This window comes from Homo sapiens, chromosome 4 (genome assembly GCF_000001405.40).
Source record: "Homo sapiens chromosome 4, GRCh38.p14 Primary Assembly".
Classification (NCBI taxonomy): Eukaryota; Metazoa; Chordata; class Mammalia; order Primates; family Hominidae; genus Homo; species Homo sapiens.
The window spans coordinates 145,717,692-145,731,892 of NC_000004.12; the positions used below are offsets into that span (position 1 = coordinate 145,717,692).

General features: G+C 40.2%; 1 protein-coding gene across 12 annotated transcripts in view, besides 2 other annotated features; it reads left to right on the forward strand.

Moving 5' to 3' along the window:
* Positions 1–14,201, forward strand: part of C4orf51 (chromosome 4 open reading frame 51) — a 112,298-nt gene that overhangs the window by 37,546 nt on the left and 60,551 nt on the right. For 11 of the 12 annotated variants that reach the window (XM_047416079.1, XM_047416083.1, XM_047416086.1 and 8 more), the window contains exons 3-5: positions 9,220–9,278; positions 11,478–11,538; positions 12,201–12,274. In XM_047416079.1, coding sequence (XP_047272035.1) covers positions 9,220–9,278; positions 11,478–11,538; positions 12,201–12,274 — 194 coding nt within the window. Of the gene's footprint in view, positions 1–9,219; positions 9,279–11,477; positions 11,539–12,200; positions 12,275–14,201 lie in introns of those variants that run through there. The other variant, XM_024454189.2, reaches the window with a different exon arrangement.
* Positions 2,420–2,619: an enhancer, noted in NCBI's record as "active region_21965". NCBI's record gives its function as "activates an Ori minimal core promoter by ATAC-STARR-seq in GM12878 lymphoblastoid cells {active_cell/tissue: GM12878}" and the evidence as "EXISTENCE:reporter gene assay evidence [ECO:0000049][PMID:35858748]".
* Positions 3,260–3,309: an enhancer, noted in NCBI's record as "active region_21966". NCBI's record gives its function as "activates an Ori minimal core promoter by ATAC-STARR-seq in GM12878 lymphoblastoid cells {active_cell/tissue: GM12878}" and the evidence as "EXISTENCE:reporter gene assay evidence [ECO:0000049][PMID:35858748]".

Consider the following 14,201-nt stretch of genomic DNA (forward strand, 5'->3'; position numbering starts at 1 on the left):
AGGTTCTCAAATTCCTTTTCACATCTGCCTTTCAAAGAGTTCAGTTGCATTTCTGCCTACATTAAAGTGCTTTTCCTTTTGCATTAATATTAATTTTCTTTCCAAGGGTTTGATTTGGTTGTAGCTTTTCTGACCTGATTCCCTTCTATATCATATGCTCAGCTCTTATATTCAAAGTAGAACAAAGCAATGGCTAATACAAATCCAATATTATAAAGCTGCAATACAACAAAATTTTAATTCAACTTTCTCTCCATTGTACTATGCTAATACAGATTCTAATATGTTTTATTAAACTTCTGTCCAGCAGAAGCAACTTTATGAAGGGCATGTAGAATGCAAACAATGATACAGCTGGGCCAACACTCACTGGCTTTCCCTTTCCTTTCTCTGTCCTAAGCTCCATATCTGTGCCCCACATCTGTACTGCTCTAGGGAGAGCCCAGCTGAACCTTGCAAAAGAGTGCACTGGTCTCTTTTATTCTTGCTGTTCCAGGAGATGTAACATGCACTACAAGGAGGTGTTATGTGGTATGACCACAGTAAAGTCCAGATATGAAAACGTGTGAGATATCCTTGGGATATTTCCTAAACACAGGCAGCAAACTTCAAGTCTCCAAATCAGCTACCTGGAAATGCTTTTATGGGATATGACATTTAACAAGGACGGCAGTGCCTAGGAAAATATTGACAAGAACCAAGTAATATTCTAAGAGGGCAAAATGCATATGAGTTGCAATGTAATTTCAAGAGTATTTGTGCCCATTTTTAACATCCTTTCTCACCTACTCTTTCAATCCCACTTTTATTCTTCTGTAAAGCCTTTCCAAGCCTTGAAAGACTTCAAAAAGCAGTAAGAAGTCACTGGACTACCCCATAAGTCACGTCTTGCCAACACAATCTATTCTCCACAGAGGGACATCTTAATGCATAAACAGAATAATCTCACTTCTGTTTCCTGTTGCACTTACAACAAAATCCTAATTTTTTACCATGGCCTGGAAGGTCTTGCACGAATGTGACCTTGCCTATCTTTCCAGTCTCATTTCACACCTTCTCCCACCTTTGCTCATCCTGTTCCAGTTATAATGTATTCGTTCAGCAACTTGAAACTGCTAAGCTATTTCCCACCTCAGGACCTTTACACGTGCTGTAATCTTTGCTGGAACACAATTATCCCAGTTCTGCTGAGCTGTATCCTTCAGGTCCTTCAATTCTGAACTTAAATGTCACCTCTTCAGAGAGGTCTTTCCTGCCTACCACCTTTAAAATAAGTTTTTCACATTCTCAGCGTCTTCATCTCTATCTTGATGCCTGCTTTGCTTTCTGTGTATTATGGTATTTGTTTACTTACTTATTATCTCTTTCTCCTACTAGAACATAAGCTTTATGAGGGAGGAACTTGTCTGTCTTGTCTTTGTATTCCCAGCACTTGGCACAGGGCATCACACAGAGCAGATTGTTTGTCATTGTTTGTTGAACAATGGTTTTTATGGTCCTTCCATGGTTGGCTTTTCCTTCCCACAACCTACTTCTTTATAGGGGCAGGTCTTTGTTTATAATTTGTCTTCCAAAAGGAAACTTATACATGACTTTTAAAAATTAAAACATAGTGTATAGAAGCAACCTTTGGGCCAGGCATGGTGGCTCACACCTGTAATCCCAGCACTTTGGGAGGCCGAGGCAGGCGGATCACGAGGTCGGGAGATCGAGACCATCCTGGCTAACACTGTGAAACCCCATCTCTACTAAAAATACAAAAAATTAGCCAGGCGTGGTTGCGGGCGCCTATAGTCCCAGCTACTCGGGAGGCTGAGGCAGGAGAATGGCGTGAACCCAGGAGGCAGAGATTGCGCCACTGCACTCCAGCCTGGGCAACAGAGTGAGACTCTGTCTCAAAAAAAAAAAAAAAAAAAAGCAGCATCCTTTGAAAAACTGTGTTTCCAATGACAGCCTTTAGAATCCTATGTAGGAGCCCCTAGAATTGCAACACTTTAAAAATGAAGTGAATTACTAGTGCGTGGCACTGTTGCACACAAACATGATTTTAGTTATATTCACTTCTTCTCCATCCCCTACACAGTTTCCGTGATGCGCTAAAGGAGATACAGCCAGGCAAACCCCAAATCTGAAACGTATGCTTGAGGAATATAAATAAGGGATGGCAAATGTGATTTGCGGGGAGAAGAAAAGAGGAGAGAGGGCAGGTGACTTGCTGGTGGCTGTGGGAGGAGTTGTGGCCTGAGGCTGGGGAAGGACCTCCCATTTCTTAGCAATGTGAGTATCTCGTGGCTTCCGAGCTTGGTTGGTTTTGTTTTGATCATGCCTCAGAGGTGTGCCCCCTTGTTCTGTGGTTGGATCATTTCCAAAGCTTATTGATCCTGGAGGTTGTGGCCCCAGAATGAAGGTGGCAACAGGTGGATTAGGGCATGCCTGAATAGAGGGAGGCTTTTTCCATGGGTCTTCTGGTCTGTCTAAGAAAGGCACTCTACACTGGCCCTGGGAGGCGAACATAAAGGAGCAATGGGCACCTCCCCCAGCTTTCCTGGGAGAGACTCACAGCTCCCCAGCCAAGGCTTTCTCACACCCAGGCCAGCTTTTCCCAGCAGAGGAAACTTCCCTCTCCAAGGCCTCCTCTGTTCTGAAGTCCAGAAATGGGGCCAACAGGAAGACTCTCACTTCTCACTTCTCCTCAGCTATACGGGGAGATACCCAGGAGTGAAAACCCCCCACCTACACTCCCCCAAAGGAGCCCTAGGTCTTACTGTGATTAAGACTCTCCTTCTGTGAGTGACTCCACACAATATTCCACCTGTCGGCTGAGCTGTTGCTAGCTGAGGTGCTGCACTTTTTACCCCACCACATATTCCCCGGGAGTGTTCTTCTTGCTCTTCCTCCACTCATCTCCCCACACTGATTGCCTAGCAGAGACTGATTTTAGCACTTCCTTCCTGGTACAAGGCCTTACAGGTCATTCTGCTGAGGGGAGAAAAGGACTCCGAAGGGCTTTGGTGTGATTGTCTTCATTGTTTTCCCCTAGGGTCACCCTTATTTGGCTTCCATTTTCAACAAAGGAAAGATGCCCCTGTGGGACAGTGGAGGGGTCAGGGGTCAGACAGGCAGGCTGCTCCCTCACCTAATCACTGCTCTCACCCTCCTTCCCCATTTCTCTATGGACCTTGATAGCCACAGCTGCCCAAGGTTTGCAACAAAGGGAACTAGATGACTGAAAACAAGCCTCACTCACCACGGCGTGAGCTGTCATGGCAGAGGGACCTTTTAACTTCATGACTTAGATTGTTTTTTGGCTAATTTGTATGCCTTGCTGTGAGAAGTGAATACATTTCTTTTAAACTACAGGAAGAAAAAAGATGGCCAGGTGTGGTGGCTCACACCTGTAATTCCAGCACTTTGGGAGGCTGAGGTGGGCGGATCACAAGGTCAGGAGTTTGAGACCAGCCTGGCCAATATGGTGAAACCCCGTCTCTACTAAAAATACAAAAATTAGCCAGGTGTGGTGGTGGGCGCCTATAGTTCCAACTACTCAGAAGGCTGAGGCCAGAGAATACCTTGAACCTGGGAGGTGGAGCTTGCAGTGAGCTGAGATTGCACCACTGCACTCCAGCCTGGGCGACAGAGTGAGACTCTGTCTCAAAAAAAAAAAAAAAAAAGATCACACTGGCCACCAATATGTCTAGGTAGAGTGATAAACACTTTGCCTGGAATTGAGGGCCTCACCACACTAAACATGACAGCTACGCTGTGTGACTGCCAGCACACCCCAGAGAATCCCGGGATGGGCCTCTGGACTCAGAAAATATCAATGTCCCTTCTAGGTGGTGGGAATTTTGTTTTGTTTTCCTCTCTCTATTTTAAATTAGAAAACAGACTAAGAAATGGTTAAATGTGTTTGCCGGAAGATATTCAAGTGTAAGGCAACAGTTTCCAAATTCCCTGCAGAGACTGGGCACAAGGGAACATTGGCAGCCAAGCCTGTTATTAAGAAGGTCACAAGATGCCATCTGTTACTGTGTGCACTTTACTGTTCAAGCATAACATCAACTAGGAGGTGGCTGCAATTGATTTTGCCTGTGAACTTAAAAGATAGAGATATGGTGGACACCATAGTGATTTTAGTAGACTTATATGAACAAACCATGTGTCTGCCTATGAGATGGGCGGGAGTTACGTGGGGAGAAAATTAGGGAAAAGGTGAAGCATTATTTTTAATTCTGTCCTTGGTTATAGCTATAGCTCAAATGTAATTTGGGATGCTCCTTGGTGATTTTCCTTTTTTTGTGTGTGTGCCTGGTTTTAGCCGTTTACAAAATATAATAGAACTGCCTTCTTTATAATTACCAAGTTAAGGCAGATAAATGGGGGAGGGCACGAATAAAAAGACAGATAAATGGACTGCCTTATTCTTTTGTTCCCAAAGAATAAAGAATTAAAAATTCTTTTAAAGAATTTCTAAAATCCACAAGCAAGTTAAAATGGCACAATCAATACCCACCTGCCCTCTCCTAGATTCACCAATTGTTAATATTTTGCCACATTTCCTAACATTTGCTTTATCTAAATCTCTCTATACTGATGCCTATATATACTTATTTGCTGGAATGTTGAGAGTAAAATTAAAATATCATAACAGTATATCCTAAATACTTCTGCATGAGTCTCCTATGGATAAGAATGTTCTCTTACATAACCACAACATTGTTATCACACTCAAAAAAAGTCTGACATTTTCTTAAAGTCAGCTGATCAGAAAAAAAGAAATTTAACATTGCTAGAATAATTTGTATCTAATATATAGACCATTGAATGACTTATTCTTAAAAATCTGTCATGAAAGAGATTTGCTCTCTAATCTATCCCAATGGTTAACACATCTCTCTTTAAGACAATGATACCTTATATTTTTGAGACACTTTGAAAAATCTGATGAAAGCTCTGGGACCTATCTTCAGAAAAATATTCATAAAAATTGTACCAGTCCATGGCCTGTTAGGAAGTGGGCTGTACAGCAGGGGGTGTACAGTGGGGAGCAAGCAATGCTTCATCTGCATTTATGGCCACTCCCCATGGTTGGCACTACTGCCTGAGCTCCGCCTCCTGTCAGATCAGTGGTAGCATGAGATTCTCCTAGGAGCACAAACCCTATTGTGAACTGAGCATGCAAAGGATCTGGGCTGCATGCTCCTTATGAGAATCTAATGCCTGATGATCTGTCACTGTCTCCTATCACCCCCAGATGAGACCATCTAATTACAGGAAAACAAGCTAGGGCCCGCACTGATTCTAAATTACGGTGAGTTGTATAATTATTTTATTATCTATTTCAATGTAAGAATAATAGAAATAAAGTGCACAATAAATATAATGTGCTTGAATCATCCTGAAACCATCACCCCTGCCCCTGCCCACCCACCTTCCATGTTTCCATTGTCTTCCCTGAAACTGGTTCCTGGTGTTAAAAAGGTTGGGGACTGCTGCATAAAGACACTTATACTGGCCAACAATGCGTACATCTTGGCTGCTTCTAAGTTGTATTGTTCACATTTAATCTAAATTCTCCTCCTTTGTGTACATACAACTTAAGGCTGCAGTACTCAGAAAGGATGGAGAATGGTTTGTCTTCACCTTCCAACATTATGTTTTGTGTTCACGAACCTTCATTTCTAATGACAGGCAGGTGGGAGATGAAAGTATCCCCAACATATTAAAGGAAAACAGAATCACCGAGAAGGTTGACAGTTGTACTATGACAGACACCCAGTAGGTGGACTAAATGATTAGAAGACCTGGAGGTATACTTCCAAACTTGAGCTTCTCTGATTCTGCAAGCCTACACTTGCTTTCTTGATAATTTGCTTTTAAAAACTAAATACCTGTAACCTGGAATTACAGGAAATACAGGTATTTCCATCAGGGTTGGCACAACATTTAAGGACCTAATACCTAAAGATAGAATTTGTTGGTAATTACAAAGATATTTAGTTTTATCAACAAATTGCCCAATTCAGTTACAGTTCTAAGACTGGGTAGTGGGAGCAGGAAGGTAGATACATAATAGCAAATTAGGGTAACATTAAATGTCCTTAAAAGGCCAGCTGAAGCTGCCAAGGTCAAACTTTATCATGGGCTCTATTTTGTGAACTGTGACCTCGCAAAGAAAAGTCATTAGCTAACCGTACTCCAACATATGTGAGCTTAACACTGGTGAAGAGGAACACTGGTTCCTCTCCATATACCGCTAAAGAAAATGAGAGACATTTCTAGTTCAGTGAGAAAAATGCCCAAGTTGGCTGAAAGATAAACACAAATGTATAAATACCTAATGCTATGGTCTAGCACAAATTCTAATGCCTGGTTTTTTTCCCCAGAATGCACCAAATGCCCTCAAAATTACTTTTTATAAAACTTTAATATTATAGAATCATATCACTTACTAATTAATGATTAGTATAATTCTTGAAAGGAAGGGTAGCAAAAAGCTAGTTAAGCCTCTGGGAGGCCTGTGGGATTTATAAAAGTCTTACAGAGCTTTGAAAGGCTAAGAATTCACAGACCATGGAACAATCAGCACTAATTGTGAAGGATAAACTTCTTATCCGTCTGCTTTTACTGTGGCTATGAAAAAGTGGGTTTTTCTTGAATTTAGCTAAGTAATTGTTAAGCTCTTTGACTCTGGCTTAAGATACCTTCTTTAAAAAAAAAAAGTTTATCAGCATAAAATAGCACACAAAGCAATGAACATTTGCCACATGCTAGTCCCCTCTCTTGACTTATTTCTAATGACTAGGTCCCATCATATTACATCAAGCAAGACACCCTTTCAGCAGTTTCCCCTGATTTTTAATGAAATCACACAAGATAACTCAGTATAATTCGTCATTAAAAAATCAATCTGGGCACCATGGCTCATGCCTGTAATCCCAGCACTTTGAGAGGCTGAGGTAGGAGGACTGCTTGAGCTCGGGAGTTCGAGACCAGCCTGGGTAATAGAGTGAGAACTCATTTCTATGACAAATTTTTAAAAATTAACTGAGTGTGGTGGCACATGCCTGTAGTCCCAGCTACTTGAGAGGCTGAGGCAGGAGGATCCCTTGAGCCTGGAAGTTGGAGGTTGCAGTGAGCCATGATCATGCACTGCACTCCAGCCTGGGTGGCAGAGCAAGACTGTCTCAAAAAAAAAAAAAAAAAAAAAAAGAAAGAAAAGAAGAAAAGAGTTAAGTGAAAAAGCACAATGATATCGTATGTTCTCACTCGTAAGTGGGAGCTAAGCTATGAGGATTGCAAAGGTATAAGAATAACACAATAGACTTTGTGGACTCGGGGGAAAGGGTGGGAGGGGGATGAGGAATAAAAGACTACACTTGGGTACAGTGTACACTGCTTGGTTGATGGGTGCACCAAAATCTCAGAAATCACCACTACAGAACTTACTCATGTAACCAAACACCGCCTGTTCCCAAAAAACCTATTGAAATAAAAAAATTAGAAATTTTTAAAAAAATAAATAAATAGAAAAAAACCATAATGAGTTACTACTTCACATCCATTAGAATGGCTATAATCACAAAGACAATAACAAATATTGGAGAAGATGTGGAGAAATAGGTACCTTCATTCATTGCTGGTGGGAATATAAAAGAATACAGCCACTTTGGAAAACATCTTGGCAGTTTCTTTAAAGGTTAAACAAAAATTAATAGCAGAACCCAGTGATGCTGCGTATAGGTTTTTTCCCACTAGAAATGAAAACACATGTCTACACAGACTTGCATGTGAATGCTCATTGCAGCATTATCCATAGCAGCCAAAATTGGAAACCCTAATGTCTGTTACCTGGTGAATGAGTAACAAAATCTAGTATATTCGTACAATGGAACACTATTCAGCAATTAAAAAAAAGAACAAAATACTAAAACAGCTACAACATGGATGAACCTCAAAACATTGTGTTAAGTTAAAGAAGTCAGACATACAAGATCACATAGTGTATGATTCCATTTATATGAAATGTCCAGTAAAGGCAAATCTATAGAGAAAGTAGATGAGTGGTTTTCTAGTGCTGGTGGTAAGAAAGGGGATTAACTATAAATGAGCAAAAGGAATCTTATTGGGATGATGAAAATACTCTAAAACTAGATTATGGTGATGATTGCATAACCTGATAAGTTTACTTAATTCACTGAACTGTGTACTTAAATTTTGTCAATTTCAAGGTTTATAAGTTATATATCAATAAAATTGTTTAAAAAATGCATCTGAGCTTCTCAAGACCTTAATAAAAATTTAAAGCCTTGGAATTTCAGCAGTCTTGCCTCTCTCTAATTCTAAGAGTGTAAGTTGTGTATCATAGGAGAACATAGCAGACACAAAAATATTTACCTCTCCCAAAAGCTCCAGAAGAATTACTATGAATTTAACTTCTACAGTTTTGTCTTACCTGTTTGATGCTTACTTTTAAAAAGATATTATTCTTAATTGACCCATAATAATTGCATCTATTTCTGGAGAACAGTGTGGTATTTTAACACATGTATACAATGTGTAATGAGTGAGTCAGGGTAACTGGCATATCCATCACCTCAAACATTTATGATTTATTTGTGTTGGGAACATTCAAAATCCTTTCTTGTAGCTATTCGAAAATATTCAATTTTCCAGAGATATTTCAAATAAAAAAAGAAAATACACAATAAACTATTGGGCTTTTTTTTGAGACAGGGTCTTGCTCTGTTGCCCAGGCTAGAGTGCAGTGTGCAATCATGGCTCACTGCATCTTCCACTTCCCAGGCTCAGGCAATCCTCCTGCCTTAGCCTCCCTGGTAGCTGGAACCCCAGGAGCCACCATCACACCCAGCTAATTTTTAAAAATTATTATTTGTAGAGACGGGGGTCTCCCTATGTTGCCAACGCTGGTCTTGAACTCCTGGCCTCAAGTGATTCTCCTGCCTTGATCTGCCAAAGTGCTGGGATTACAGCCATGAGCCACGGTGTCTGGCCATAAATTACTGTTAACTGTATTGCCTCTACAGTGTTATAGAACAACAAAACTTACTCCTCTTATGTAACTATAATTTTTGGTTAGATGCTAAAGGGAAGCAATTGAAGTGTGTACAATTTGTGGTAATAGCCTAATTGGAAGTGTAAGGAATTTTATTCTAACTCTGCATTTAATCCTGATTTTCCCTCTTCATGTGCATGCAGGACTATTCCCTGATATAACCAGGCCCTTTAAAAAGTCATTTGATGTCAAGCATGGAGTGGTAAGCCCAACATTTCTCAGCAATCTCTTACCTGTAGAGAGCTTAAATTATTATACACTGCATATTATTCATTAAAAAAACAAAAGGGGTTAAATTTTTAAAAAACAATATTCACCAAACGTTTATTCCTGAGTGCTTATTTTGTGTGTGGCTTTCTATTAGGTGATAGGAACACAACAATAACCAAGGTTACGAATTGTGAACAACTGATGATACTGTATTTTTATTATCATCACCAACTTTTCCTCTTTTCCTTGCAGAGGAAAAATTATATATAATATACTGGCAGTTAAAAATAACTTTTCTCTGGCTGTAAACATTCAAATAATACAGAGTAACAAAGTAAAGATTATCTGAAATCTTCCCCCAGGGACAATCACCATTTTCATTTCAGTGAACATCCTTATAAATGTCTCTCTATACTTATGTATACATAAGGATACATGCATACACACAGTATATTGATGAGATCACACTGGACACTGTCCTCTGTAACCTGCTTTTATCCCTCAATATTTTCATGGACATCTTTCAGTGTTAATCAACATAATTATTTGTTACGATTTTTAATGGATACGTAATATTTTATTAACTGACTCCATTACAATTTTAAAATATGCCATAGGCCGGGCACGGTGGCTCATGCCTGTAATCCCAGCACTTTGGGAGGCCAAGACAGGTGGATCACCTGAGGTCAGGAGTTTGAGACCAGCCTGACCAACATAGTGAAACCCCATCTCTACTAAAAAAAAAAAATACAAAATTAGCCGGGCATGATGGTGCGTGCCTGTAATCCCAGAGGCTTGGGATGCTGAGGCAGGAGAGTTGCTTGAAGCCGGGAGGTGGATGTTGCAGTGAGCTGAGATCATGCCACTGCACCGCAGCCTGGGCAACAAGAGTGAAACTCCACCTACAAAAAAAATGTGTATATATATATATATATATATATATATAAAATATATTATATATATACATTATATATAATAATATAATATATAATATAATATATACATTATATATAATATATTATATATATAATGTGTGTATATATAATATATATTATATATAATATATATATACACACACACACACACACACACGCCATATAAGGAGGCATTTAAGGTTTTCTAATTTATAACTACTGTAACCAATGCTGTGATCAATTTGAATATACGTTTTTGTAGCTGTAAAATCATCTCTTCAGGGTACGTTCCCATAAGAAGAATTCTTGGGTCAAAAGTACACTTATTTTACAAATGGCCAAACTGCCTTCCCAAAAACTGGCCTCGTGCCCTAGTAGTGCGTGAGAGTGCCTGTTTTCCTATATCCTCTCTAACATTAGCTTTAAAATATAATCTTGATGTTTTCCAACTTGACAGATGAAGATAGTTCAATTTTCTTTTAATTTCATTTCTTTGATTATTAGTGAAGTCAAGCATCTTCTCCTATGTTTATTCATCATTCATAGTTCTTTCATGAATTGTAATTGATTCTCACTATTTGTGGTTATATTTTGTAAAATCACCATGAATACTGAATTAAGGAATACTGAACCATTGTTCCTAAAGGAAATATAAGGTTAGATTCCTGGGAGCCTCCAGTCACAACATCTTTGTCGACTGATCAATATATAATTTTGTTTTTATGTATATTTCTGTTTAAAGACACTTAATATATGAACTCATGGCTAACAGCACTATAACTAATGCTAGAATGGAGCTTAATTAATTTACAAATAAATTTTAGCAAGTAGGTGAATTTGCAAACACTGATTCATGAATAATTATATTTGAATGATAATGATAGTATATTTCCTTTATCCATTTTCCTACTAGGGTGTTTAGCTTTTTCTTATTGATTTGTATATGGTATTTTCATATTAGGATTGTACTCCTTTGTCTATATTTTACTGTTATTGTTTGTTATTACAGTGGTGGCTTTTTCTTTTTCTTTTTTTTTTGAGACAGGGTCTTGCTATGTTGCCCTGGCTGGCTTTGAACTCCTGGGCTTAAACAATCTCCTGCCTCAGCCTCCCAAGTGGCTGAGACTACACTGCACTCACAGTGGTGGCTTTTGACAGCAGTATCAGTGCTTTCTGAATGCAGGGGTGGGGAGGAACAATGTTGGGAAAATGAATTTTATTAGATTTCTATTATTATGAAAGTGGTTGGTATTTATTTCTATCTCTCCTTTTTATAGGCACATCAAATTTGGGATTTTGGTGATTGTTTTCCGACACCTCCAAATTATGGAAAATACTGTAAGTCCCATCCTGAACTACTACTTTACATCCATTTTCTGGCCTTTATTTTAATCGTGGTCATGTGATTTTTTTTTTTTTTTTTTTTTTTTGAGATGGAGTCTCACACTCTCCCAGGCTGACGTGCAGTGGCGCGATCTCGGCTCACTGCAAGCTCTGCCTCCCACGTTCACGCCATTCTCCTGCCTCAGCCTCCCGAGTAGCTGGGACTACCGGCGCCCGCCACCACACCCGGCTAATTTTTTGTATTTTTAGTAGAGACGGGGTTTCACCGTGTTAGCCAGGATGGTCTCGATCTTCCGACCTTGTGATCCTCCCTCCTTGGCCTCCCAAAGTGCTGGGATTACAGGCGTGAGCCACCATGCCCGGTCCTTTCATGTGATATTTTCATACCTTTTGCATTTCTGCTTCCTTCCTCCTGGCACCCACATTGTTACATCATTTTATCTCTCCTAACAATACAAAAGGTAGGATGCAGAAATAACAGGAGGGAGAAATGCAAGAGGCATTTGTCACTCATGCTGGTGGCAGAGGAGGGGGCTGTGTATGTGAAGGTTTGGATCTATTGATTTAAAACAAGGTTTGGGAATGTCAGGAAATTTCACTTATGGTAGACTCTCTTTATCGCAAACACTCACACATTGGCTATCTCTTCACCCTAGGTGTGAGACCTAAAAAGCCAGCACAGGAGGCCCTGATAAACTACAGTCGACGAGGGAAAGGTGTCCTAAAGCATGTAAGAATCTTTTTACTTGCCATGCAACAGTGGATCTGTGGGGTAGTCAGGAAGCGGGGTTCTGAGTGTCTCTACATGGCAGCAGGGGTGGTGGCCTGTGTATGTTTAGAGTTGGTATAAAAGTATTCCCTAAGTTACAATCAGGCAAAAAGCGGAGCTGTTCTGATAAGATAAAGTCTTTCTTAAAGCATCATGAATAGTTTCTTGGGTGGATCTCTCCACAGCTGTTTTGGAAACAAGCCCCTAAGAGGTTTACAGCAGTTGGAATTTCTATTGTACTGTCCAAATTTTCATCGGTGAGTTGTTGGGTTCTGCCTGTTGTGAAAAAGAGAGTTCTCAGATAGTCCTGCCCTGCCGCATATCCACCCTGGTTGCCCGGTGGCTGGAGTTTCCCTCCTCATGTGCCCGTCCTGCCACTCAGCATCTATGGTCCCTGCTTCCCCAATATGACCCTCCAGACCAGGGATTCTCTCCTTCCTGATTAGACTTTCTCAAACCCCAGGGCTTTTAAACAGATTGTTAAAATGGGGTTCTTTTTATGTCTTAAAGTTCTGGCAGACATTCTTAGAGAGTAAGTTGAAAGAAAGAATAAAAACTGGTTTTTGCATAGAAGTTACAACTATTTTTGCTATTCTATTACTTTATTAAGATTTCTCTTTAACTTAAAAAAAACTCAGACTCATCCTAAGTAATTATGTTTATTATACCATGGGTTTGATATGCTCGTTATGTGTGTTAAAAAAAAAACCCTGACCATTAAAATAAAAAATGTTATACAAGTACTACCTAACAGTATCACAAGAACCACCAGTTATACATACATTTCACTTTCACTTGGAAATGCTGGTCTTTGGACATTAACTAGCAGATATGATACATTTCGCTAATGGGAGAGGGTTGGATGACCCACGCTGGTTCCCAGGCAACCAGTCTATTTTAATGATGCTCTTCCAAAAATGGTGCAGTTTTTCTCAACTTTTCTGCTTAGGACCTGATAATGTTCCCAGGGAGCATTTCAAACAGGGAAAGCCAGTGCGGTGGCAGACTGTGGAGGGAGTTGTTTGGGGGCATTTGTAGCTGCATGGTCCCCTGAAAGTTATATTGTGTGGTCAACCAGGGACATCCCTTCACTGTAGGGTTGATGCCTGTTTCTAGGAAGGGTAGATGATTTCCTGAAAGTACATTTACTGAAAGCTGGCCTCTTGGGAGTTGCTTGGGAGAATCATTAACTATTGTTAAATAAATAAATCCCTCTTGCCTACATGGAGTTGTACTGGTGCCAAGCAATTCCATTGCCAGTCAGTGTCTGCAGCTGTTCTGGGGAACAGCTGCTTCTCTCTGTAAGGTGCTTCCCCAACCCCTCCCAGAAAGGGAATTCTCTGTACTCAAAGTAGCCGCTTTTAAGTCAACCATTCCCAACAAATAAATGACATTAATCCTGCTCTTGTTTTTGTGGTGCAATAACAGACTAAAAGTACATGCAGGTGCACACACACACACCACACAATTAATATGGGGCACATATTTGGAAAACCTTGGACCTAGAGTCCTGAGCAAAAAAATAAATCATGACTTTTTATTTATGAGACAAGGCAAATCTTTTTTTTTTTTTTTTTTTTTTTTTTTTTTTTTGAGACAGGAGTTTCACTCTTGTTGCCCAGGCTGGAGTGCAATGGCGTGATCTTGGCTCACTGCAACCTCCACCTCCTGGGTTCAAGCAATTCTCCTGCCTCAGCCTCCCGAGTAACTGGGATTACAGGTGTGTGCCACCACACCCAACTAATTTTTGTATTTTTAGTAGAGACAGGGTTTCACTGTGTTGGCCAGGCTGGTCTCGAACTCCTGACCTCAGGTGATCTGCCCACCTCGGCCTCCCAAACTGCTGGGATTACAGGCGTGAGCCACCATGCCCGGCCGAGACAAGGCA